This window comes from Homo sapiens, chromosome 6, assembly GCF_000001405.40.
Source record: "Homo sapiens chromosome 6, GRCh38.p14 Primary Assembly".
NCBI lineage: Eukaryota > Metazoa > Chordata > Mammalia > Primates > Hominidae > Homo > Homo sapiens.
The window spans coordinates 7,274,675-7,299,676 of record NC_000006.12 but is presented as its reverse complement, the minus strand read 5'-3'; the positions used below and the strand labels follow the sequence as shown (position 1 = coordinate 7,299,676).

The following is a 25,002-nucleotide window of genomic DNA, read 5'->3' as shown; positions in this document are numbered from 1 at the left end:
CGCTCTTGTTGCTCAGGCTGGAGTGATCTCGGCTCATCACAACCTCTGCCTTCTGGGCACAAGTGATTCTCCTGCCTCAGCCACCTGAGTAGCTGTGATTACAGGCATGCGCAACCATACCCGGCTAATTTTGTATTTTTAGTAGAGAGGGGGTTTCTCCATGTTGGCCAGGCTGGTCTTGAACTCCTGATCTCAGGTGATCTGCCTCGGTTGGCCTGCCAAAGTGCTGAGATTACAGGTGTGAGCCACCGCACCCGGCACCACTGTCATTTTAGAACATGAATTTAACTTTTGTTCCGATCTAGTTCTTAAAATGACCTGCTTCTGCAGCTGCCGCTGTACTCTTCCTTCCTTGTTTTGAAGGATTGCAAACAACAGAAGGTAAAGCTTGTTGGCGTAAGAATGCTGTGAGCTTTGTTTCTTTCTGCACGTTTTATCTCATTTTTATTTTACTCTCTGGGTCCTCACACCACCACCCCTACCCCAGAAGAAAATTCAGGGGACAACTTTGGCAAAGTCGGTGACTTTTTTTAAAGGGGTGTGGATCTCGCTATGTTTGCTAGGCTGGACTCACAAGTCCTGGGTTCAAGCAGTCCTCCTGCCTCAGCCCCCGAGTACCTGGGACCACAGGCATACGCCATCTCACCTGGCCCAGAGACTTTATTTCATGTGAGAAAATAACAATGTTGAGTCCCTGCCACAGAATATTGCAGTTACATATGAATTTGTTGAGTCTTCTAAGTGATGGGAAGGCTATATTCAATCTGTTAGAGTAACTGTTTTAAGTAATGTTACATGTTTTACTTCCTTTATTGCATTTAGATTTTTCTGATTATTTTATTTTCTTAAACAGGGCAATGTATTCCAAGATGCAGTCTTCAATCAAACAGTTACAGTTATTGAAAGAGAGGATGGGTTAGATGGAGAAACGTAAGTGAAAGTTGTAGTATGTAGATCTTGATTTTGCTCGTAAAGTAAGACTGGAAAGCTTGCTCTGTTTCAGCATTGTTTTAGATGTTGACGATGGAATGAACTGTATAGATTTGGTGAAATCCTTACGATATTCATTCATACTTCAGATGATTCTTATAACTATAAAAGTCAAATTAGGAAAGATAGTTGAAACTGATGGAAGAATCTCTTTAAAAGTTAGTATTGGCTTTCTGTCCTTCCTCTCATCTAAATTTTCTACCTCATGCTTATAAACTGTTCACCAGCCTAAACTAAGTCTCGTGCCTCTGAAATTACTATTGAAAACATAAGTTAGAAGATTTTATCTTGAAAAATGTAAGTGTTCTTTCTGAATGATGAATCTTTTTTTACTCTAAACTTATATATAATTCACTTAAGGTAATTTTTAAATTGGATTGTGCAAAATAATGTAATATTCCAGGGAGATGAAAGCTAATGCAATTATTTTATAAACCAAGCTTTTGAATAGAGCATAAATTGTAATTCTATTTTCAATCATAGAGTTTTTTTTAATTGACTAATTGCTCTTAAAGGTAATTTATAAAACTTAACTACCTGGATTTAAGTTGAATACAAAGCATTTTATTCCTTTTCGCCACAAGTTATTTGGAAAGCTTCTATTATGTGTTATAATTATAGTTGTAATTAGACGTGGTATTTCCTCTGAATTAAAGACAGTTCATATTTTCTCCTTTTGTACCAGAATCTTTATGTATATGTTCCTTGCTGGTCTTGGGCTTCTGGTTATTGTTGGCCTTCATCAACTCCTAGAATCTAGAAAGGTAATTATGGATGAACACCTCTTACAGCCGTGTTTCAAAAGTTGTTAAGTACTAAGTTAAGCAGTCTAGTTCTTCGGCCTCATACTGTCACTGTGGGTTTGTATACGTAGAACTTTGTTGTACCTTTTTAAAATAAAACCTGAAGCCTTAGATATGTAAATTGATTCATTTAAACTTACTTTCTTTTTTTTTCTGGAGACAGAGTCTTACTTTGTCACCCAAGGCTGGAGTGTGCAGTGGTGTGATCTTAGCTCATTGTGGCCTCAACCTCCTGGGCTCAAGTGATCCTCTCAACTCAGCCTCCCGGTTAGCTGGGACCATAGGTGTATGCCACCACACCCCGCTAATTTTAAAATTTTTTGTAGAGGCAGGGTTTTGCCATATGCCCAGGCTGGTCTCAAACTCCTGAACTCGAGCAATCTGCCCACCTTGGCCTCCCAAAGTGTTGGGATTACAGGTGTGAGCCACTGCACCTGGCCTCATTTAGACTTTCATACACACATACAATTATTTATTGTCCTTTGTGCCCTCCAGAGTGATATTTACCTTTGGATTGGTATTGTAGCTCTAAATGCTAGAATTTTTATTCCCTAAACTCAGATTTTATTGTTCTGTTTACTTTACTTTTTAATGGGTATGCTATTTTATCTGCAAGTAACCTAGCTTTTATATTTTCTTTAATATTCTTTTTTTTTTTTTTTTTTTTGAGACAGTCTGGCTCTTTCATCCAGGATGGAGTGCAGTGGCACAATCTTGCTTACTGCAACCTCCGCCTTCGGGGCTCAAGTCATCCTCCCACCTCAGCTTCCTGAGTAGTCGAACTACAGGTGCACGCCACCACACCCAGCTAATTTTTGTATGTTTTGTAGAGACAGGGTTTCGCCATGTTGCCCAGGCTGGTCTCGAACTCCTGGGCTCAAGCTGTCCTCTCATGTTGGTTTCCCAAAGTGTTGGAATTGTAGGCATGAGCCACCACACTCAGCCTGCGTTAATACTCTTAATTATAGAAACAATCCTTAATTAATAAACAAGTCCTTTCATTGGAAAAAGAACTAATACATTTTGTTCTCTCAGTCAAAATTCTGTTTTTGTGGTTAGAGTAATAAAATGGTAACACCTAGGGTCTGCCACGATCATGGTTCTCACTCTGGATTCATTCCCTACCACATCCTTATTTCCCTCCTCTTCCCCATTCCCTCACTCACCCTCCTCCTTTCCTTCCCTCACTCACCCTCCTCCTTTCCTTCCCTCACTCACCCTCCTCCTTTCCTTCCCTCCAGCCTACAAAAACAAAACCTATACTATTTCTCTCAGTGGGAAAATATAAACAATTTTATCAAATATGTTAATATAATTCATTAGACCCTAAACAGTTGCTAATCATTTTGGCGATTATTTATTAAGCCTTTAGTCAGGCAGTCAAATCTATATTAAAATTAACAATGAATGTTATTAATAAGCTCTTTCTCTTTAAAAGAGAAATACTTTGTGTTTAAATGTTAATTTCTAAAACTCGCTTTGCCTCATTGTCATAATGGTTGGAATTTTTGCTGTAAATTTGTATATTAGGTATAACTGCATCTCCATTTTTCTTCTATTTAAATGAAACTATTTTTAAGTTATCTCTCCATGTACTTAGGTTCTAACTTACGGATTATATAATTAATACTGTTTCTTATGTAGATAAACTGAGGTTTGTTGGTTTCTTGGGTTTTTTTTTAAAGCAAGGCTAAATGAGTCATTTTTACTTTCTAGCAGTTTTGCTGTAAATACTCTAGGGAGAAAGTTTGAAGTTCTTAAATTGAGGTGGTTAGCTTAATGAGATTTTATGGTTTCGTTTTGTTTTGTCTGTGCCAACTGTTTAATTGTATTTAGCTTACGATGCAGAAACTGCCTGCATGTAACATATCAGCAGTTATCCTGAATTTTGTTGAATATAGAAATAAATTTATTCTTTGATTACAATTTGATTCCTAAAGGGAAATAAAGTCATTGTATAAATAGATACTCTTATGTGGTCCACCAGTGGTACATAACATGAACCTTTATAGCAAGGGGAAAGGTCTTTAAAGCCTGAAAATAAATGTGATGAAGATTTATTCTTTATCATCAGTACTAGACATGATTTTCTCCTTCCCTTTAATAAAGTATTTGAGTAGAAGTATGTTCTAGGAAGACTAGAAGAGAATATAACTTGTTTACCAAGATATTTAAATTAAGTAATTTGATAGGTGTTTTAAAAATTAGAGTAAACAGCTGGTCATGATAGTATGTGCCTATAGTCCCAGCTACTTGGGAGGCTCAGGCAGGAGGATTGCTTGAGCCCAGGAGTTCCAGGCAGCCTGGGCAACATAGCAAGACCTCAACTCTTTTTTAAAAAATATTAAGTAAATGGTGTAACGGAACTCCTTTAAAATATGTCTTTATGTTCTTTTAGCGTAAGAGACCCATACAGAAAGTAGAAATGGGTACATCAAGTCAGAATGATGTTGACATGAGTTGGATTCCTCAGGAAACATTGAATCAAATCAGTAAGTAGTCTTACAGACTTGGCTGGGAAGTTTTTCTCTTAAGTGGAAATTAAATACCTTAGATTTAGTTTAAAAAAAAAACTTTTTCAGTACTATTTAACATTCATCTTTTCCATTACTTGTGTAGAATCTAGTATAGTGATTAATTAAGACCTTAAAGGTTTATTCAGTGTGTAGTCTTCTTATGCTTTAATTTGGAAATTCTTCCAGATCTGCAGCTTATTTATGAATGTGTGAATTTTCTGTGTTCCTAATCCATTTCCTGTCTCTTTTCTTTCTGTTGCTTCAGTGCAGAGTAGAAGAGGTGAGGCATTTAATTTTTTTAATGGTTTTTGCTAGAGAATTGGGGGCTCTCAAATAGCACGTAAATATTTTACGTCAAGTTTAATGAGTAATGGAACAATTTTTCTTACTACATTTTATTAGAAAAACTACCCAGTATAACTTGAAAGAATAAACCTAAAATATTACCCGACAATTTATTTTACAGATACATTTCAGTTTTATTACATATTCAGTTAAAATACTAACCTTTATAAAAGAATATAGAAATGTTTCTTCAATTGTAGGACATTTTAAAAATGTTTATTATAAAACCAATGCAGCCTCATTATAAAAAATTAAATAGTACAGAAGTGAAAAAAATAAGTCAATTCCTGACTTCATTAATCCTATTTATTTATTTATTTATTTATTTATTTGAGATGGAATCTTGCTCTGTCGCCCAGGCTGGAGTGCAGTGGCATGGTCTTGGCTCACTGCTACCTCCGCCTCCTGGGTTCGAGTGATTCTCCTGCCTCAGCTTCCCAAGTAGCTGGGATTACAGGCACGTGCCACCACGCCCGGCTAATTTTTTTTGTATTTTTAGTAGAGACAGGGTTTCACCATGTTGGCCTGGCTGGCTTCGACCTCCTGACCTCAAGTGATCCGCTAGCCTCGGCCTCCCAAAGTCCTGGGATTACAGGCGTGAGCCACCACGCCCGGCCCTATTTTTCATAAATGGTATTATGTTTATATTTTCCATTAATTTCTATATATCTATAAGCATATACGCCTATTGTTTTTATGTGAGTATTTAGTTCAGATTGCATCATGCTGTCTACAACTTCAGTTTTCATACCTTGGATGTCTCTTTGTAGTAACTACATAAATATTTACTAAACTGTTTTTTTACAACTAGACAATATTATTTTATATATATATGTATGTCATGATAGATTAAACCTGTTCTGTATTGGAAGGATATTGGTTACTTTTATTTTTTCACTCCTACAGATGATACTGTAATGAATATTCTTATATATAAATTTATAGGATAACTTCTTAAAGGTAGAGTAACTAGGTCTAAGATTAAATACACTGAATTTTTATGGAAGGGACCCCATTTCCCTCCTAAAAGGGGAAAAAAAGGTAGTGCCAATTTATGTTCTCAACCATGCACAATATTGCCTATTTAATCTGTCGGTATGATATAAAATGAGTGTCTTACTGTTTCATTTGCATTTCTTTAAGAATGAGGTTCAGCTCCTTTATACATATTCATAGTTGACCCTTGAAAGACACAGGTTTGAACTGCTTGGGTTTCACTTTATATACAGATTTTTTCAATATAATTGACCCTCGGTATATTGGTGGGTTCCACATCTGCAACCAAAAGCAGATAAAAAATACAATATTTGGCCAGGCGTGGTGGTTCACACCTGTAATCCCAGCACTTTGGGAGGCTGAGGCAGGAGGATCGCCTGAGCCCAGGAGTTTGAGACTAGCCTTGGCAACATAGTGAGACCCCATCTCTACAAAGAATGAAAAAAAAATACATGTGTTGACGTGCGCCTAGGCTGAGGTGGGAGGATTGCTTGAGCCTGGTAGGTCCGTGATTGCTCCATGATGGTGCCACTGCACTCCAGCCTGGGTGACAGTGAGACTCTGTCTCAAAAGAAAAGGTGGGGGTGGGGAGGAAAGGAAATCATTGAGGAGCTAAGCTCTGAGGACGCAGAGGCATAAGAATGATATAATGGACTTTTGGGACTCGGGGAAGGGTAGGAGGGGGGTGAGGGATAAAAGACTACACATGGGTTATCGTATACACAGCTTGGGTGATGGATGCGCCAGAGTCTCAGAAGTCACCACTAAAGAACTTACCCATGTAGCCAAACACCATCTGTCCCTCAAAACTAGTGAAATAATAGTAAAATAAAATCTATTAAAAAAAAAAAAAGGAAATCACAGTTTTTGCAGGATACCAAACCTAAGTACAGGGAAGGCTTTTTGTATCCACCGGTTCCTCAGTGCTGACAGCGGAACTTCAGTATGCCTGGATTTGGGTGGGGTTGCCGTGGGGGAGTAGTCCTGGAACTAATTTCCTGCAGATAATAGAGATGACTGTATTGGCTAGGGTTTCTTTTCCTGTGAATTGGCTGTTCAGGTCCTTTTCCATTTTTAAATTGTTTTCTCTACTGCTTTCTGTGAGCTAGCTGTCTCTTTCTGTGAGCTAGCTGTCATATTGCAGTATAGCAGTTGCTTTATGAAAGGTGGGTTCAAAGTAACAAGAGCACAGGAGGAGGTCAGCACTAGACCCGAGTCTTGAAAGGTTGGGTGAGAAGGAGTCTTTAAGGTTTTATGAGCTATGCTAACAACTTTTGACTCCTAGGTCAAAGAGCCACTTTAAAGGAGAGGAATTACAATTGTGTTTTAAAAATTATGGTAAGCTGGGCATGGTGGTGTGCACATGTAGTCTCAGCTACTGGAAATGTTAAGGCAGGAGGATCGCTTGAGCCCAGAAGTTCGAATCCAGCCTCGGCCACATAGCAAGTCTCCCATCTCTAAGAGAAAAAAAAGAAAAGAAAGGAAAAATTAGGATCACTTTGTGGAGGACTGCAAAGGAGCTGCTGGAAGCAGGGTTACCAGTTCCGCGATTTCAGTAAAGCACAGAAGTCACTGGGGCCTAAGCAGAGGCAGTGGTGATAGGAGTAAAAGGGAGTAGAAGGATGTTTCACAGGTGGAGTAGATGGGGTTTTTTATGACTGGATGTGTTAGTGAGGGAGGAATGAAAGAGCATTCTGAACTTAGGCAACTGGGTGAAAGCTGATCCCATTAATGTCCCATAATCTAGGAAAGAGAAGCATGGAAGGATGAGGAGAGATGTGTTTGGATTAGCTATGCTGAGTGTGAAAAACCTTTGGGACTCCCAGATAAGGATGTCCAGGAAACATTTGAAAGTTCTGTTTCAGAGCACAAGTGAATCAAGATTTGGAAACATTGGGACATATAGCATCAGTGGTAGCTCAAGTCATGGGAGCTACACATCTGTTTTTTTTTCTTTTGAGACAGGATCTCACTCTGTCACCCAGGCTGGAGTGCAGTTACGTGATCATGGCTCACTGCATCCTCGACCTCCTGGGCTCAATCCGCCCACCTCAGCCTCCCAAATAACTGGGACTACAGACGCACACCACCATGCCCAGCTGAATTTTTATATTTGTTGTAGGGAGGGGGTTTCACCATGTTGCCCAGGCTGGTCTTGAACTTACGGGCTCAAGTGATCTGTCTACCTCAGCCGCCCAAAGTGCTGGGATTATAGGTGTGAGCCACCATGCCCAGCTCACATCTGCATATAACAGTGATGCTCACACAGATGGCTGTTAAATCCTAGAGTACTTTTTGAATCCTCAAAAGACTATGTTCAGCATACTGCTTATTTGAAAAAGTTTTATTTAGAGATTGGTTGTCTGTAAGGGCAGTAGTTCCTAGTCTAACCTTTTTGAAAATCTGATAAAAGTTGTAGACTTTCTTCATCAGAAACATTTGTCTGTACTCACAGCTCAGTTTTAGGTAAGTTGAAGAGCCCCTGAAACCATCTATTAGTAACCTACTTAATGAAGTAGTGAGAGCAGTTTTCTGGGTTTTTTTCACACTTGAAAAGTGAGGGCAGTTTTCCTGTGATATGTAGGCTCTGTCTTAATATTTTAGCCCTTAACTTTTTTTATTTTTCTGAGACACGGAGTCTTGCTCTGTTGCCCAGGCTGCAGTGCAGTGGTGTGATCTCGGCTCACTGCAACCTCCGGCCCCTCGGTTCAAGTGATTCTCCTGCCTCAGCCTTCCAAGTAGCTGAGATCACAGGCGTGTACTGCCACACCTGGCTAATTTTTATAGTTTAGTAGAGATGGGATTTCATCATGTTGGCCAGGCTGGGCTGGTCTTGAACTCCTGACCTCAAATGATCTGCCTGCCTCAGCCTCCCAAAGTGCTGGGATTACAGGCATGAGCCACTGTGCCTGGCCTTAGCCCTTAATCTTAAGGAGATTTCTTTGAAAAATGTGTAGTCTTTAAATATTCTTGGCTGGGCCAGGTGTGATAGTGTGTGCCTGTAATCCCAGCTACTTGGGAGGCTGAGGCACGAAAATCGCTTAAACCCAGGAGGTGGAGAGCGGAGATCGTGGCACTGCACTCCAGCCTGGGCGACAGAGTGAGACTCTGTCTCAAAAAAAATAAATATTCTTGATAAACATTTACTCATTTTCTAGGCATGGTGATCTCATAATTTGGGGGGTGAGAGATCTTTTGAACAGATTTTTTTTTTCCATTTTATGAAATGCTTACAGATAAGCCCCATGCTTTGGTGAAAATCACTTTCTAGCCCTTCACTTTTTTTAACTGGAAAAAATGATTTTTATTTCTAACTTATTCTACAGTATACAAACATACCAAAAAAAAACAATACGAAATCAATGAATGCAAAATCAATCAAAATCAATACAAAAACAATTATACAAGTAATTTCTAACTTATTCTAAAATCTTCCTAATATGTAAAGTACCCCCCAGAAAGTAAGACAAGACAATAATAGAGGGAAGGTACATACATCCAGCCTTTCACTGGTTGAGGAAACTTATAAATGACACCTCTTACCAAATGGAAGTAGAAAAACCCACCACAAATGTATTTTCTGTTAAATAGACCCTACTGAGAATCTAACAAACATATGGGAGATACAGCTTGTGTGCATAGAATTGTTTTAGCATTGAAATACTGATTTCCTTTATTCTGCTGCTTATTCCAGGTAAATTTATGAAATTGAAAAATTATGCAAACTGCATGACTGCATTTGTAAATACAAAATCAGCAGTTTTTAAGCGTTTACTTATGCATGTATAAACTTGGTTAAGTTATAGAATTGAAGATTTTGCATGGTGTCTTCAGCAGTACAATAACCAAGTTTAAATCTCTTACCCACCCTAATTGCAAAACACTTTCATTTTAATTGGGGTTACCTCTTGAAGGATTATGTTAAAGATTGTTTTTAAAACCTAGAGCTAGATAGGAGGCATTCATTATTAGATGGTGTTCACCCATGTGTGTGTGTAACTTAGTGGTAAAGTTGAAGGTAAATACTTTTTAACATGTCTTTTGAATTCAATATACTTATAATAGGCAAGCTTAAAACTTTCTCTTTTCTTCCAGATAAAGCTTCACCAAGAAGGTTGCCCAGGAAACGGGCACAGAAGAGATCAGTGGGATCTGATGAGTAAATGTTCCTTTGTGCAACAATTCGGTCTTTACTTAACCTGCCCTAATATTTTTCGGCCTGATGGGAATTAGTGCAGAGAAGCCATGTCACCATAGAAGGCAACTCCTACTTGTGTGTGGACTGAGCAATCAGAGTCTGTGGCGATAATATTGCTGAAAATGCACTGCATTCATTTTTCTAAAGTAACAAATTTGGTTTTTTTTTAAACCATTAAAATCTATGTGTGTGCGTGTGTATGTATGTGAGCAGTTGGTCTTACCAGAATCATTGTTGAACTACCTGAAACAAGTCTTTAGAATACTAAATATAATGCTGTTGTCTCTTCCTTTTTGACATTTTCTGATTTTTTCCCCCAAAACTCAGTTAATATTTACCCACTATGATTATTGATGTCCTGCCTTGAACAGTTTTAAAGAAAACAATTTTTGGAATAGCTCAAATTTCAATTGATGGCACAAATCAGCATTTTGTTGTTGTTACTGTATTACAATTAGTATTCTAAAGGCAGAAGCAGAAGTAGCTGCTTTTTAGCAATAGAATTGTTTCAGTATTTTGCTGCTGTTTAATGCGCATCTTCAGAAAACTTCCCAGTGGCTTCAAGGAATTTGGGGATCTCTCTGGCAACAAATTGTGAAACATGAAATTTCTGCTGACTTTAATATATGAAACCTAATCCTACCCCCTTTTTTAACAAAAAGAAACTAGTACATTTGTGAAAATTGTGTTGTGTTGTCCATTGTTGCTCTAGTTCTGACCCAGAGGTAGCTCTGGAGTGATTTTAGACCTACTCACTCAGTTGTGTGTAGGTTTTTTTGTTTTGTTTTGAGAGAGAATTTTTCTCTCCTTAATAGAAGCATCCTTTTTAAAGAGAAGTTGCCTTGGTCCACACACTAAGCAGAAAACCAAGTTATCAGGACAGAGATATTTCCCAGTTACTCCTAATCAATGAAGAAAGTGAGTTGGATATTTTTAAAGCAGTTAACTAATTTTTTCTTACCTAATCTTTTGGGAGTTTTGCTTGTTGATATAACCTTTTTAGTTAACCTGAAAGATTCCAAAAATTGTTCTTAAGTGCTTGAGACTGGAACCAAAATTAAATTGTACTTCATAAAATCCTCTTATAGAGTTACTCTTGCCCTAGATTGTAAATTAAGTTTGGCATTATTGTCAGACTGGATGGAGGGTGAAGTAAAATAGTATGAACAATTAAGAGGCTCTCCCCCTCTTGTCTTTAAGCCATATTCTCCTACATGTATTTTATAAGAAAATGTTAAGTCAAATTTTAGTGGCTCTTTAATTCCTGACCTCTTCATTCTCCTTTTCAGTATAACCTCCCCTATGCTCATGCCCACACAGACAAAAAAACAAAACGAAATACACACAGAAAAAAGTCTTTCCAAACTGTTTAAGTATTTAAACATCTGAGCCAAAGCAGATAGAAGTTATTGTATAATTGTTAATCACTTTGCAAATAGGGGCTATCAAATTACCTATATTGGCATTGCTGGATTATAAACTCTATATCTGTAATATAAAGTGTTTGAGTTTTTAATTGGGCTGTTATGATCAGTAGTTGATTTTGAGAAAGCTCTATGAGCTCTAAGTAACTGCATGGTTTTTTGTTTAATGTAATATAGGAGACCCTTCACATTCCCAAGGAATATATTCCAAAACATTTTTGTGAATATCTAAGTTTGTGAAACTACTAGGGCATGATACAGTAAGGTGTAATTACAGAATTTACGAAATGTAAATGGCCTCTACAGAGTTTTATGGAATACCTGGTACTAACGTAGGCAGCTGCAAAACCACACTGAGTTACAGCTGTCAGCCCTCCTCATTCCTAAATAACTTGCCTTACATATCAGCCCTCCCACTTCTGAAGTTCAAATTAGTGCCTCGGAAATGTAGAATTTATTATTTGTCATTTTTTTTTTTTTAGCATAGATTGAGAACAGTTGAACTCTTAAATCCTCAGATGCCAGGGGTCTGCTCTAGCATCAGTAAGTATTTAGCAGAAACTAACTCCGTAATGAATGGAATTCAATTCCACACATGGTTTGTTCAAGCACACTTAATAAGTAGCCTATTTTTTAAATGTCTTTTTAAAATGTAAATATTTGGATGAAGTTTTTCTTTGTTTTGATATATTCATTTGCTACACCAACTATGTTTTCAGAATTCATCTTTTGAACAACTTGGTTTCAGAATATGTAAAATGACTTTAAGGATCTTGTGTATCAAACCTATCCCCGGATGTGTGAGAATAATGTGTTCATAAAGCATGGATCTCGCTTTGGTTGTATAGCTTCCTCATTTACTTCATGGTCTTACATAGCTGGTGACTTTCAGGGCTAATCTGCCCTCTAAAGCATTGTCCCAGGAGAGGAAAAGGAAATGGGACCTCAGAAGTAGAAGCCTCAGGGAAGGAGTAAAGTAGAAATCAGAAGAAAAGAAGCTTCACTTGATAGTAATAAGGTTTTTAACTTCAAGTACCTTCAGAAAATGTGATTTTGATAAGAGGAAAGGGCAAATTTAGACCTTAAAAAATATGGAAGAACTACTGCCTTAAAAGTGCATTTGTGGCACATCAGCCTAGAACTGTATCATGGCTGTGCTGGGGAGAAGTAAATGGTGGTAATGTAACATTGCCACCTTTACTTAATGATGTGTTATTTTCGAGGTACAGTAGATCAATATAGTAATAGGCGAGCCTCATATATAGCATTCATCTTGTACAATGATATCCATACCCTTGATATGAAGGAAAATTGACTTGGTTTGTGCATTTGAATACTGAAATAATTTTTTAAAACTCAGTGACACATACCATCTCTTGCCAAGACTAGACCCTGTATTTTAGTTCCTAAATTAGATGTTTAAATTTAAAAACATTTTCAGATGTACTTAAGTACTTCCATAGTACTTTTTTTTTTTTTTTTTTTTTTGCCCCCTGAGACGGAGTCTCTGTGTCACCCAGGCTGGAGTGCAGTGGTGCGATCTCGGCTCACTGCAACTTCTGCCTCTTGGGTTCAAGCAGTTCTCCCTGTCTCAGCCTCCTGAGTAGCTTGGATTACAGGCGCCCGTCACCGCACCTGCCTAATTTTTGCATTTTTAGTAGAGACGGGGTTTCGTCATTTGGCCAGGCTGGTCTTGAACTCCTGACCACAGGTGATACGCCTGCCTTGGCCTCCCAAAGTGTGCTGGGATTACAGGCGTGAGCCACTGTGCCCGGCCCACTGTTCACTTTTTGAATGGCATCATTTTATAGCTGTAGAACTAAAATCAATGTTTGCCCCAATTTTCTTAAGTAAAACTCTACTTTGAGCTCTTACCTCCAACTTAGTAAAAAGCAGCTTCACACACAAACAAGATTCTTACTGGTGGAATGTTAGGTTTCGTTGTTAAGTTAATCTGTCTATAAGCTCATCCTTAGAGGATATTTGAGGAGGAAGAACACCTTGCAGCTGACTTGCAAACATCTAAATAATTTATTTCGGGTGCTTATGAATGTTACTAATGGATTTTGTATGAATTTTTATCCCTTTTCATTTATACAAAAACCTGGGCTTTTATGTTAATTATATCATCTGAGGTTCTAAGGTTTTTTTTTTAGATTTTGAAATTTAGGGATAATAGCTCTTAGGTTTGGGTACCACTTTGCTGCAGTTTAAGAAAGGGGGAAGGGAACTCATTTATTAAACATCAATCACGTGCTGTGTTCTGTTTGTTTTCTAGTCATCATATCACACACCTTTACGACAGCTCACTGAAGGAAGGTGATACTGTTCCCATTTTGTAGATGGAATAGACAAAACCTGAATTTAAGTAGCTTGCTCAAGGTTCCATATTGAATATGGAAAGTTCAAATCATCTCAGTAATGAATATACCATATATACTTGCTGTATTGTATCTATGATAATTCAGTTACCCACAATACCCTTTTAAATTTCTGTTAATGACATACCTTTAAATGTCTCCTTGATGAACAGAATCATGGTCTTTAAAAACATTTTCATGGGTTGATTGCATTTTCAAGCTCTAAAGGATTGAAAGATAAATCTTCACGTTAAAGGTAAGAGTGAAGTATCTGCTCTTGGGTTACAGAACCAGATAGTACTAGAACTAAGATTACAGGGTAAAGCTGCTTTTATCTTTTTTCTTTTTCTTTTTCTTTTTTTTTTTGACATGGGGTCTCACTGTATTGCCCAGGCTGGAATGCAGTGGCATGATCTCAGCTCACGGCAGCCTCTGCCTCTTGGGCTCAAGCGATTCTCCTGCTTCAGCTTTCCAAGTATTTGGGACCACAGGCGCACACCACAGGCCTGGCTAATGTTTTTGTTTTGTTTTTGGTAGAGACGGGGTTTCACCATGTTGCCAGGCTGGTCTCGAACTCCTGAGCTCAAGTGATTCACCCACCTTGGCCTCACAAAGTGTCAGGCTTACAGGCGTGAGCCACTGCGCCCGGCTCACAGGGTAAGGCTTCTGTCTGGTGTGTTGTATTACGGATTTTGCTTAATAGGCACAGTGAGGCATTAAAAAGAAAATTCAGTATGCCTGTAGAAAGGATAATCCTTGTTTAAAGTCTCCAAATTGCAGTCAAAGATGTTTTGACTGTGCCTTTTTTTGTTCCCCTGCTGTCCCTTATGTAGACTTCTGTCAGTACCCATGGCAGCCTGTCATCTTGTTGACATCTCCTTCTGGACTGTGAGCTCTGTATCTGGCTTGTTTTTCATCCCCAGCTTCTAGTTCACAATTAGGTAGAACCCTATTACTCTTTGAAGAAGGAACAAGAAAATGTGGGCCAGTTTTCATTTGCCATTCTTCCATGTGAGTTAGTATGGTTCGTAAGTATTCCTGGTGATACGCTAGTATTGGCAATTCTGTGAGGTTGAACAAAGGGGTGGTATGGTGTGCTAGCGTGGGAATTAGGAGACCTCTGGGTCTTGACAGTGCCCTGGCCACTAAGCAAAGGCAGTTCATCCTTGGAGTCTCAATGTGCTTTTTTGTTAATTGAGATATGCTTGAAGTATCAGCCCTAAATAGTCTGATTCTGTGACCTACAAACCCTTACTTAATTCAGTGTTACTATAAATGATTCTTCCCTTAAACCTACTTTTTACTTAGCAAAAGAGAAAAAAAAAAAAAGGAAACGCTCATGTCAGGCTGCCTGGGTTTGAACCCCAGATCCCCTCTTAGTTGGAGGCAAGTTGTATGATGCTTCAGCTTTTGGTTCCTGCCTCCTAAGGTTGTTAGGAGTTACTGTGTGTAGCTGCTTAGAACATTGCCTGGGTCTCAGTAAGCCGCTTAAGTGACTGCTCTCATTTTCGCTGTAAAGCACCATACTGTAATAACATCCCATGAAGCATGGGGCGGGGAAGAGTATATGGTACCTTATGGACTTTGATGTGGTGGGGTAGTAGGTAAATTCTGAATATGTAAGCTACATAGTATTCTTTTTGTAACTAAAGGATAAAAGTTTTAAGATGGGCATGTAATATGGCTAGCACTGGATTTTAATGATGAGCCAGAGTAATAAGGCTGGCAAGGGGAGTTTTTGTTTTGTAATAAATCTCTTACACCTGCACATCCAGTTCTTTTTAAAAACACGTTTGAAGAGGCTCCATATTTCTCAGTGAAGCTGTTGGGGTTCATGTTATTTTTGAAAATCATCTTGCAATTTATTTCAGCATCAGACTGAACCACCCAAAGAAAATTAGTCTATTTCTGAACAGTTTTTTCAGAAACCATATTGGTCTGATCACCCAACATTTATAGAAATAGGCGCTTAAGGCCTAGAGGCATTTCAGAAAGGAGAATGAGAAATACTGTGGTCAAGAGTAGTGTTCAGATGGAGAACATCAAGCATCTGCTCTGCCCTTCCACACACATCCTCATTTCATCTTCACAACTGCCCTAGGTAACCTTGTTATCTGTAATGAAACAGCCTCAAGGAGCACAGAGGCACTCACTCCTCACGTTTGGTCTGTTGCCATTTCCGGCTTGGTTGGAATAGGGTAGGAGCCTTTTGGCAGGGAGCACATTCTCAGTAATGCAGAGTGCACTCACCTGGGTTCTAGCTTCAACACTTAGGATTTGCTTGATATTTTGTATTCTCTGAGGCACTGCCTGTATTTGTTTCTGCTATCACAGTCCAGAGTCAAGCTTCATTTATAAAGACTGGGCAGGGCATGGTGGCTCACTCCTGTAATTCCAGCACTTTGGGAGGCTGAGGTGGGTGGATCACTTTAGGTCAGGAGTTCAAGACCAGCCTGGCCAACATGGTGAAACCCCATCTCTACTAAAAAATACAAAAAGGCCGGGCACGGTGGCTCACACCTGTAATCCCAACACTTTGGGAGGCCAAGGTGGGCAGAACACCTGAGGTCAGGAGTTCAAGACCATCCTGGCGAACATAGTGAAACCTCGCCTCTACTAAAAATACAAAAATTAGCCAGGTGTGGTGGTGCATGCCTGTAATCCCAGCTACTTGGGAGGCTGAGGCAGGAGAATTGCTTAAACCTGGGAGGTGGAGATTGTGGTGAGCTGAGATCGTGCCACTGCACTCCAGCCTGGGAGATAGAACGAGACTCCATCTCAAAAAAGAACAAAAACAATTAGCCGAGCGAGGTGGTGCACGCCTGTAATCCCAGCTACTCATGAGGCTGAGGCAGGAGAATCACTTGAACCCAGGAGGAGGAGGTTGTAGTGAGTCAAGGTTGCACCACTGCACTCCAGCCTGGGTGACAGAGTGAGACTGTCTCAAAAAATAAGTACATAAATAATAAGTAAAAGCTACTAACAATTAAAAAATAAATAAATAAAGACAAGACTGTCTGGAAAATGGCTCTCCTAAAAGGACCAGTTGCCATCATCCACAGTGGAAGATTCAAAGCAGTTGGTCCTTGGTACGTATGAGAAGCGGATTTCATTCCCTTGAATTCTACAGAGCAGTTTATTAGAGTGAATGCATTTTAAGGCCTTGCATTTGATATGTCATCCAGTTCATAATCAAGTTGCCTTTTTCTGGCTAAAACATAATGATTATGTATTTTTCTCATTTGGTCCTACAAGCTGCTGGCCCTTTGTCCCTCCACTGTGGGAATCAGATCTAGAGGAGGCTGAGCCTGCAGACACAGCAGTGGCCAAAAGGTCACTCTAAGTGTTTTGTCTTGACTCCTTACTTGAAGTCCACCCAGCTAGCACACATCTGGTTTATACTGAAGCCCCCTGCCTAGAAATACTCATTTCAGGAACCACCAGTAAGCATCTGTGACCACACAGGCTTTTTGACTGATGGCTTCCCGGATCTGGTTTCAAGGGATAACCCCGTCTGTGTGCATCTATGGTCTTCTCTCTACAGCGAGGACTTTGCAGTGCTGCTTGTGGTCCACACAAGGGGCTCAGAGCTGAGTCTGAACTGCTTCATGGTCACCAGCTCCTGTCCCTTCCAGTCTTGAGAGGCTTTTTTCTCCAGATGGAACCTTTCCTTCCCGCCGTTTTCTCGGTCTCTGGCTGTTTTTCTCTTGTGCCCGTCTAATTGGACACCTCCTGGCTTCCATCTCTGTGGTTCTCCTGCCTCACTTCCTGTTCTGTTGTTTTTCCGTTTTGTCAAAATATCTCCTATGTTCTTGGCTTCCTTTTCGTCGCCAGGTTTTCAGCTTTCCTTTAGCTCTTCTTCTAATATGGCTTCTGCCCACAAAAGCCTGCTCTGTCAGGATCTCATGGTTCTCCACTTGCCAGAACCTTCTTCAGCCTCAGTTCCTCGGCCTCAACTTGTACGTTTAACCCATTGACCACCACCCCCCAAATTCACCTTCATTTCTTTGACCCTGCTCCTCACTCCTTTTCTGTTGAGGAATCTGTTGACTAACTCCAGGCTCACTCAGGCTCACCGTCCTGCTCTCTGCACCAGCCTTTCCAGAGCGTGCCAGTTCTCATGGCTTCATCTGTTAACTGTTGATCACTTCAGTCCTGATTTTTAGACCTAAATGGTTTCCTTAACGCCATTCTAACTGCCTGTGACTCATTTTCACTTACAGTGTTTATTGTAACGCCAAACCAACAAATCACAGGTGCTTGCTTCTCTCCATAAATCTCCCCAGTCTAACTTTTTGTCATTCAACATGACTCGTTTATCCAACCTGAAATCGCATATAGCCCCAAGTATGGTGTTTTGTACACAGGTATTTAATAAGTGACTTCCAGTTTTGGCTCTGCTATGAATAAAAAGAGATTTCAGTTCTCTTCACTTTGAAATCTAACAACTCAGAGAACATTGAAGAAATTGGAATTTAGTTGGGATGAAATACTTGTGGTTTAAAATATTTCTGTTCATATTTTCTAATTTGTTGCCGGAGGTCTTGGGTTTTCTATTTGAGTGCTTGCAAACTCAATGTGATTTCTGTCAGCATATCTTAGGTTTGTTTGTTATGAAACTTATGCAGTGTGAGGTTCTATCTGAAAATGTTATTTAGCTATCTTCTGGGACTATTTAATGAAAGTGGGGTCATGAATCCTTAAAATTCTTGTGCAGCTTTGAGAAACATTTCTGTTATTTGGGTATCAGTTTGTAAGTGTGGTAAAGCCAAGATGGAAACGAGCACTTTGCTTTCTTGGTTGTTGTTACTGGTCTAACCTCCTGCTTGAACTAGTCTGCTGTCCTGTCAAATGCATCTTTTTATTTACATGTCCCTTAAATTAAAGCTGATCATGAAAGTATTTGTGTGCAACATGAAATGTTTTCTAAAGTACCAGTGCATATTCCTGCTTGGTCTCAAGACGCACGAGGAATCCAAAATAGAAGCAAAAAAAGAAAAGAAAAAAAATCACAATTTTGATCGGAATGTCCTCCTGGAAATTATTTAAAAGTTTGGCCGGGCACGGTGGCTCACGCCTGTAATCCCAGCACTTTGGGAGGCTGAGGTGGATGGATCACAAGGTCAGGAGTTCAAGACTACCTTGACCAATATGGTGAAACCTCGTCTCTACTAAAAATACAAAAATTAGCTGGGCGTGGTGGCACGCGCCTGTAATCCCAGCTACTCATGAGGCTGAGGCAGGAGAATCACTTGAACCCGGGAGGCAGAGGTTGCAGTAAGCTGAGATCACGCCACTGCACTTCAGCCTGGGTGCTTCCGTCTCAAAAAAAAAAAAGTTCACACATTTTTAGACATTTCAGTGATGTTTTAGAATAAAGGTGATTTAAGATTGGTTTTACAGGCACTCTTGGGCTGTCAGCTAGTTGGCTTTTCAGATGATGATCATAAAGACACTCCCCCTCACGCAGGTATATGAGTAAGTAAGGTCTACCCCATCCACACTCCCATACTGACTTTCCATTCCCAATAATTGCACAGACTGCATACTCTGATCGCTTATTAAACATTTCTAAGGAAGCCGAGATGGATCTTTGATGTAATTTTCTCATCTGTATACCCAGCCAGTAAGTCAGTAGCACCTAAGATTTCTTTCCCTTCAAGATTGTATTCTAAGCAGTAGAATTAAAGTGTTCTTCATAGAAAAAGTAACTTTTAATTAGAGGCTGTGCAAACTCTGGAGAATCAGTCTTTGTTACCAGATAATAATGTTTTTAGCTTTTTCTGCTGAGAGGAAAAAATGCTTTGAAGAATAAAAAATACTAGAGCATAACAAGCTTGGGGAGTTAGGAAAAAATATATTAGGGCAGTAAGAACCAGCATTACGTCTTCTCTGCAATGCTTGAAACATTCAGTATTAAACTTTGGATTAATCCAAAGTCTGAAGAGAAATACACCAAAATGCTAAAGCCGTTTTTGGTTAGGATAGTGGACTTTTTTTTTCTTCTTCAGAATGTTTGTAATGAGCCTATATTTTATAATGGAAGCAATAAATGCAAATGTGAAATTTATCTGAGCCTCCTACAATGAGTATAATAAATCCAGTGGTTGTGGATAGCTTATTTGTGGCCCCAAAAGAAACGGAGCCACTTTTTAAAACTTGGATGCATTGTCACTACATAGTGAAAGAAAATCAAGATATTCTTTTTTTTTTTTTTTTAAACGGTGTCTCACTCTGTTGCGCAGCTGGAGTGCAATGGCGCAATCTTGGCTCACTGCAACCTCCGCCTCCCGGGTTCAAGCGATTATTCTGCCTCAGCTTCCTTAGTAGCTGGTATTACAGGAATGTGCCACCACGCCCAGCTAATTTTTGTATTTTTAATAGAGACGGGGTTTCACCATGTTGGTCAGGCTGGTTTTGAACTCCCAACCTCAGATGATCCACCTGCCTAGGCCTCCCAAAGTGCTGGGATTACAGGTGTGAGCCACCGCGCCCAGCCCAAGATAAGAGTCTTTTTTTGTTTTTGTTTTTTTGACACAGAGTCTTGCTCTGTCATCCAGGCTGGAGTGCAGTGGCGTGATCTCGGTTCACTGCAAGCTCCGCCTCCCGGGTTCACCCCATTCTCCTGTCTCAGCCTCCCGAGTAGCTGGGACTACAGGTGCCCGCCACCACACCCGCCTAATTTTTTGTATTTTTAGTAGAGACGGGGTTTCACCGTGTTAGCCAGGATGGTCTCGATCTCCTGACCTCGTGATCCACCCACCTTGGCCCCCCAAAGTGCTGGGATTACAGGCGTGAGCCACCGCACCCGGCCCCAAGATAGATTCTTAATAGAAAACCCTTGAAAGTATTTCTCCTTTTCAGGGACTCAGCCTTTCTCTTTGCTGTTTGTAAAAACATGAGCTCCTCTCTGCTGCCGAGTTGGTGCCAGGCCAGTGCTCAGTGCAGCCACTCCTGCCCCACCCCCTTGCCTCTCGGGCTTTATGCCCACAAGAGTCCAAGCCACTCTATCAGATCCTGACTCTTCTCTTCTGGAAACTCTCCTCTGGCTTCCACTGGCATCTAGGTGAGCACAAGTGCTCCACCACTGCCTGCAGGGCTCTCCAGTATCTCGCCCTCCCTGCCTTGCCCCTTCCTGTGCTGCCCTCCAGGCTTCCTGGCCAGCCACCTCCTCATCTTCTACCCTGCCAGGCTTGTCCAGGATCAGGGCCTTGGCAGTAATCCCCTCTGCCCAGGTCTCAGCCCCCATCTTCCCTGCTCTTAGTCTTCCTGAAAACTCCCCTCATGGAAGGCCCCACACACCCTGCTCTGTTCTCATTATCTTCACCACTATCAGAAGTTACCTTGGGCTGGCCGCAGTGGCTCACACCTGTAATCCCAGCACTTTGGGAGGCTGAGGTGGGCAGATCACTTGAGGTCAGGAGTTCGAGACCAACCTGGCCAACATGGTGAAACCCTGTGTCTACTAAAAATACAAAAATTAGCCAGGTGTGGCGCGCACCTGTAATCCCAGCTACTTGGAAAGCTGAGGCAGGAGAATCACTTGAACCCGGGAGGCAGAGGTTGCAGTGAGCCGAGATCATGCCACTGCACTGCAGCCTGGGCGACAGAGCAAGTCTCTCTGTCTCTCAGCCTGGGCGACAGAGCGAGACAGACTCTCTCTCTCTCTCTCTCTCTCTCTCTCACACACACACACACACACACACACACACACAGAAGTTACCTTGTCCTTCCATTGCCCATCACCCCTTGTGAATGTAAGCTTATGACAGCAAGAATTTTGTCACCAGCTCACCAAGTCTTAAAACAGGACCTGACACACGTGGTAGGTGTTTCATGTGAATTATTTATCACACTGTGAAGTAGGTGTATCTCCATTTTGCAAATAAGGAAATTGAACACAGGTTAAATTAACTTGCCAGAAATTCCACAACCGTTAAGTGGCAGAGCTGGACACAGGTTTGTGTGTCCTGTTCACAAATGCGTGCATCTCTGGCTGGGAACTTGCAGGGTTATGGATCAGACTGCTCCACCTTGAGAAGTGGAAATGGCATCTTGGTTGTACATTGCAGCTCAAACCAGGAAGCATTTACTAAAACAAAAACTTAACAGAAACTGGCAAGCAAGTGCATAGGCGTTGCTATAGATGGTTTCTGTGAAATTCCATTAGGTGAGTTCCATAAAGGGAAGTGAAACAATAGATCACAGCTGTAGCTTCAAAATAAAAAGTTGGTTCCTAAATTGAGTGAATTGTAATCTTAACTATTTTCTCCTTAAACGCATAATGACAAAGTTACCAAATTCCCAGTGGAAACAACTCCGTAACATATCACAGGCACACAAAGCTGCCACACGAACCCCGTGAGGAAAGAGACCAAAGGAAAACTATTTGTTCAAGCTCCCTTTGAGTAGTGCCTCACGTCAGGAGACTAGCTGTGTCTTTAAGAATTTGTAAAAGGAGGCTGGGCACAGTTGCTCATACTTGTAATCCCAGCACTTTGGGAGGCCAAGGCAGGTGGATCACCTGAGGTTAGGAGTTTGAGACCAGCCTGGCCAACATGGTGAAACCCCGTCTCTACTAAATATGCAAAAATTAGCCAGGCATGGTGGTGGGCGCCTATAGTCCCAGCTGCTTGGGAGGCTGAGGCAGGAAAATTGTTTGAACTCAGGAGGTGGAGGTTGTAGTGAGCCGAGAGTGTGCCACTTCACTTCACCCTGGGTGACAGAGTGAGACTCCGTCTCCAAAAAAAAAAAAAACAGAAGAGAATTTGTAAAAGTTGGCTGGGCACAGTGGCTCACGCCTGTAATCCCAGCACTTTGGAGGCCAAGGCGGGAGGATGACTTGAGCCCAAGATTTTGAGACCAGCCTGGTTGACAGAGTGAGACCCCCATCTGTGTTTTAAATTATATGTATGTGTTTTTAAAAAAGAATTTGTAAAAGTATACTTCTATGGTTTTTTTTGTTTGTTTGTATGTTTGTTTCTTTTTTGAGATGGAGTCTTGCTCTGTCACCCAGGCTGGAGTGCAGTGGCACAGTCTTGGCTCACTGCAACCTCCGCCTCCCAGGTTCAAGCAATTCTTCTGCCTCAGCCTCCCGAGTAGCTGGGACTGCAGGCAGGTGCCACTACCCCTGGCTAATTTTTGTGGCTTTTTTTTTTTGAGACGGAGTCTCGCTCTGTCACCCAGGCTGGAGTGCAGTGGCACGATCTCGGCTCACTGCAAGCTCTGCCTCCAGGGTTCCGGCCATTCTCCTGCCTCAGCCTCCTGAGTAGCTGGGACTACAGGCGCCAGCCACCACGCCCAGCTAATTTTTTATATTTTTAGTAGAGACGGGGTTTCACCGTGTTAGGCAGGCTGGTCTCGATCTCCTGACCTCGTGATCCACCCGCCTCACCCTCCCAAAGTGCTGGGATTACAGGCGTGAGCCACCGCGCCCGGCCCACTTCTATGTTTTTTGAGTCAGAGCCTCGCCCTGTTGCCGAGGCTGGAGTGGAGTGCTGTGGCGCCATCTCAGCTCACTGCAACCCCCGCTTCCCAGGTTCAAGGGATTCTTGTTCCTCAGCCACCCAAGTAGCTGTGATTACAGTCACATGCCCCCATGCCCAGCTAATTTTTTTTTGAATTTTTAGTAGAGACAGGGTCTCGCCGAGCTGCCCAGGCTGGTCTCGAACTCATGGCCTCAGGTGATTCTCCCAACTCGGCCTCCCAAAGTGCTGGGATTACAGGTGTGAACCACCACGCCCAGTTCTAAGTTTCTCATAAGGAGAATAAATAGTTACTCGTGTCTGTGGTTTTTTTGGTTTCATAATTTTAAATCTGTAGTATTTCTCCTCTGCAAGAGTTCCCTAAATGATGCGAAAACATTTTAAAGCATACCTGGTTATCCTCAGGCTCCCTTGATGCCCGTCCGATGAGTGTGTTTTGCTGCCCTCTGCCGCTCATGGGCGGTACAGCAGTGACTGAACAACCCATTCCCGGGTCTGCCCCTTGGTATTGCCAGAAAGCTGGAGAAGCCTGGGAAGAAGACAAGACTGTTAGGAATCATTCTCTCCTAAAGCAAACCCCCTACTCCAACCAGCCTAACAGCCTGTGCTCCACCCCTACCCCAGAATTAAAATGAAAATGAAAAATGCTGCTTTTGCTAAGACATCAGTGAAATAATCTCGGATTTTTTAAGTAATTTGAATGGTTTGTGTTGGTAGAAAGATGAATGCTGTGAGACAAGCCCGTGGGTCATCTGTAGAGCTGCCTGACCACGCCCAACATGTGCTGCAGCTTGCCTCCCAAAGGAGCAGTCTTTGAGGACAGACAAAGCTGGCCACCTGTCGACTTTGCCACTGTCATGTCCATATACGTATACACACAGGATGACTTCAGATGAACAAATCAAATATTTTCAGTTGCTGGACAGTCAGTAGTATAGTATGATGGTTAATAGCTGTTGGAGGCCAGGCACGGTAGCTCCAACAGTAATCCTAGCCTGTAATCCCAGCACTTTGGGAGGCCGAGGCAGGAGGATCACTTGAGGCGAGGAGTTCGAGACCAGCCTGGGCAATATAGTAAGACCCCATCTCTACAAAAAAATTTAAAATTAGTTTTTTATGTATTAAAAAAATAGCTGTTGGAATTAGCCCTTGTTTGAATCAAAACTTACCCACTCAGTGGCTAGATTACCTTGGGCAAGTCACTTGTCTCAGCCTGTCTCTTCATATACAAAATGGGGATAATAGTAACTACAGTTATTAGTTACCCTAGGAATATTAATAAAGTCCTTGCTGTATGTCAAGGGTTTTACTTTTTAAAGGTTCTGCATGTTAAGAAAAAGCTGATCCCAATGCCTGGCACAGAGTAGCCTTCAAATTTTCACCACTAAGAATATTTATTTCTTCATTACATAAGCCATGTTTATTTGTCAGCCAACTGAAAACCACTATCAGCAACTTATTCCTCCCTGTGAACTTCTGGTAGCGGCCTCTCATCTACTTAATGTTCGAGTTGGAAAGAATCTTAAGAGTCATCTAGTCCAGCTCTTTACCCAATGCAGGACCCTCTTCTCTAACCACCTGTATGAACACCTCTACCTGGCCAGGTGGCCTGTCTTTGGACAGCTCAAATACTAGTTCCTCCTTGAACCCAAATCAACTTCCCTGTTGATGTCCTAGTTCTGCTCTGCAGATCTTCTTAGAAAAAAAAAATCTGCCTTCTGTCCCTTACAACAGCCCTTGATGTGTTTGAAGAGAGCTATCACTTCTTTCTTTGTGAACAATCATGTTATCCAGGCCAAGGTCAAATGTCCTGCAGCCTACATGGGTGTTTTAAAGACTATATTCCGGGCCGGGCGCAGTGGCTCTTAATCCCAGCACTTCGGGA

The 25,002-nt window shown here is 41.2% G+C and overlaps 1 protein-coding gene across 3 annotated transcripts in view, besides 2 other annotated features; it reads left to right on the top strand.

The window, feature by feature from the left end:
* Window positions 1–18,534, top strand: part of SSR1 (signal sequence receptor subunit 1) — a 32,057-nt gene extending 13,523 nt beyond the window's left edge. For 2 of the 3 annotated variants that reach the window (NM_001292008.2, NM_003144.5), the window contains exons 5-8: window positions 854–930; window positions 1,676–1,754; window positions 4,192–4,285; window positions 9,746–18,534. In NM_001292008.2, the coding sequence (NP_001278937.1) occupies window positions 854–930; window positions 1,676–1,754; window positions 4,192–4,285; window positions 9,746–9,813 (318 nt within the window). In that variant the 3' untranslated portion in view covers window positions 9,814–18,534. The remainder of the gene's footprint in view (window positions 1–853; window positions 931–1,675; window positions 1,755–4,191; window positions 4,286–9,745) is intronic. The other variant, NR_120448.2, reaches the window with a different exon arrangement.
* Window positions 17,735–17,935: a silencer, noted in NCBI's record as "peak5642 fragment used in MPRA reporter construct". NCBI's record gives its function as "represses an SCP1 promoter by STARR-seq MPRAs in K562 erythroleukemia cells {active_cell/tissue: K562}" and the evidence as "EXISTENCE:reporter gene assay evidence [ECO:0000049][PMID:32103011]".
* Window positions 23,331–23,500: an enhancer, noted in NCBI's record as "experimental_94357 CRE fragment used in MPRA reporter constructs". NCBI's record gives its function as "activates a minimal promoter by MPRAs in K562 erythroleukemia cells, with activity observed for the introgressed 6:7276495 variant allele {active_cell/tissue: K562}" and the evidence as "EXISTENCE:reporter gene assay evidence [ECO:0000049][PMID:34662402]".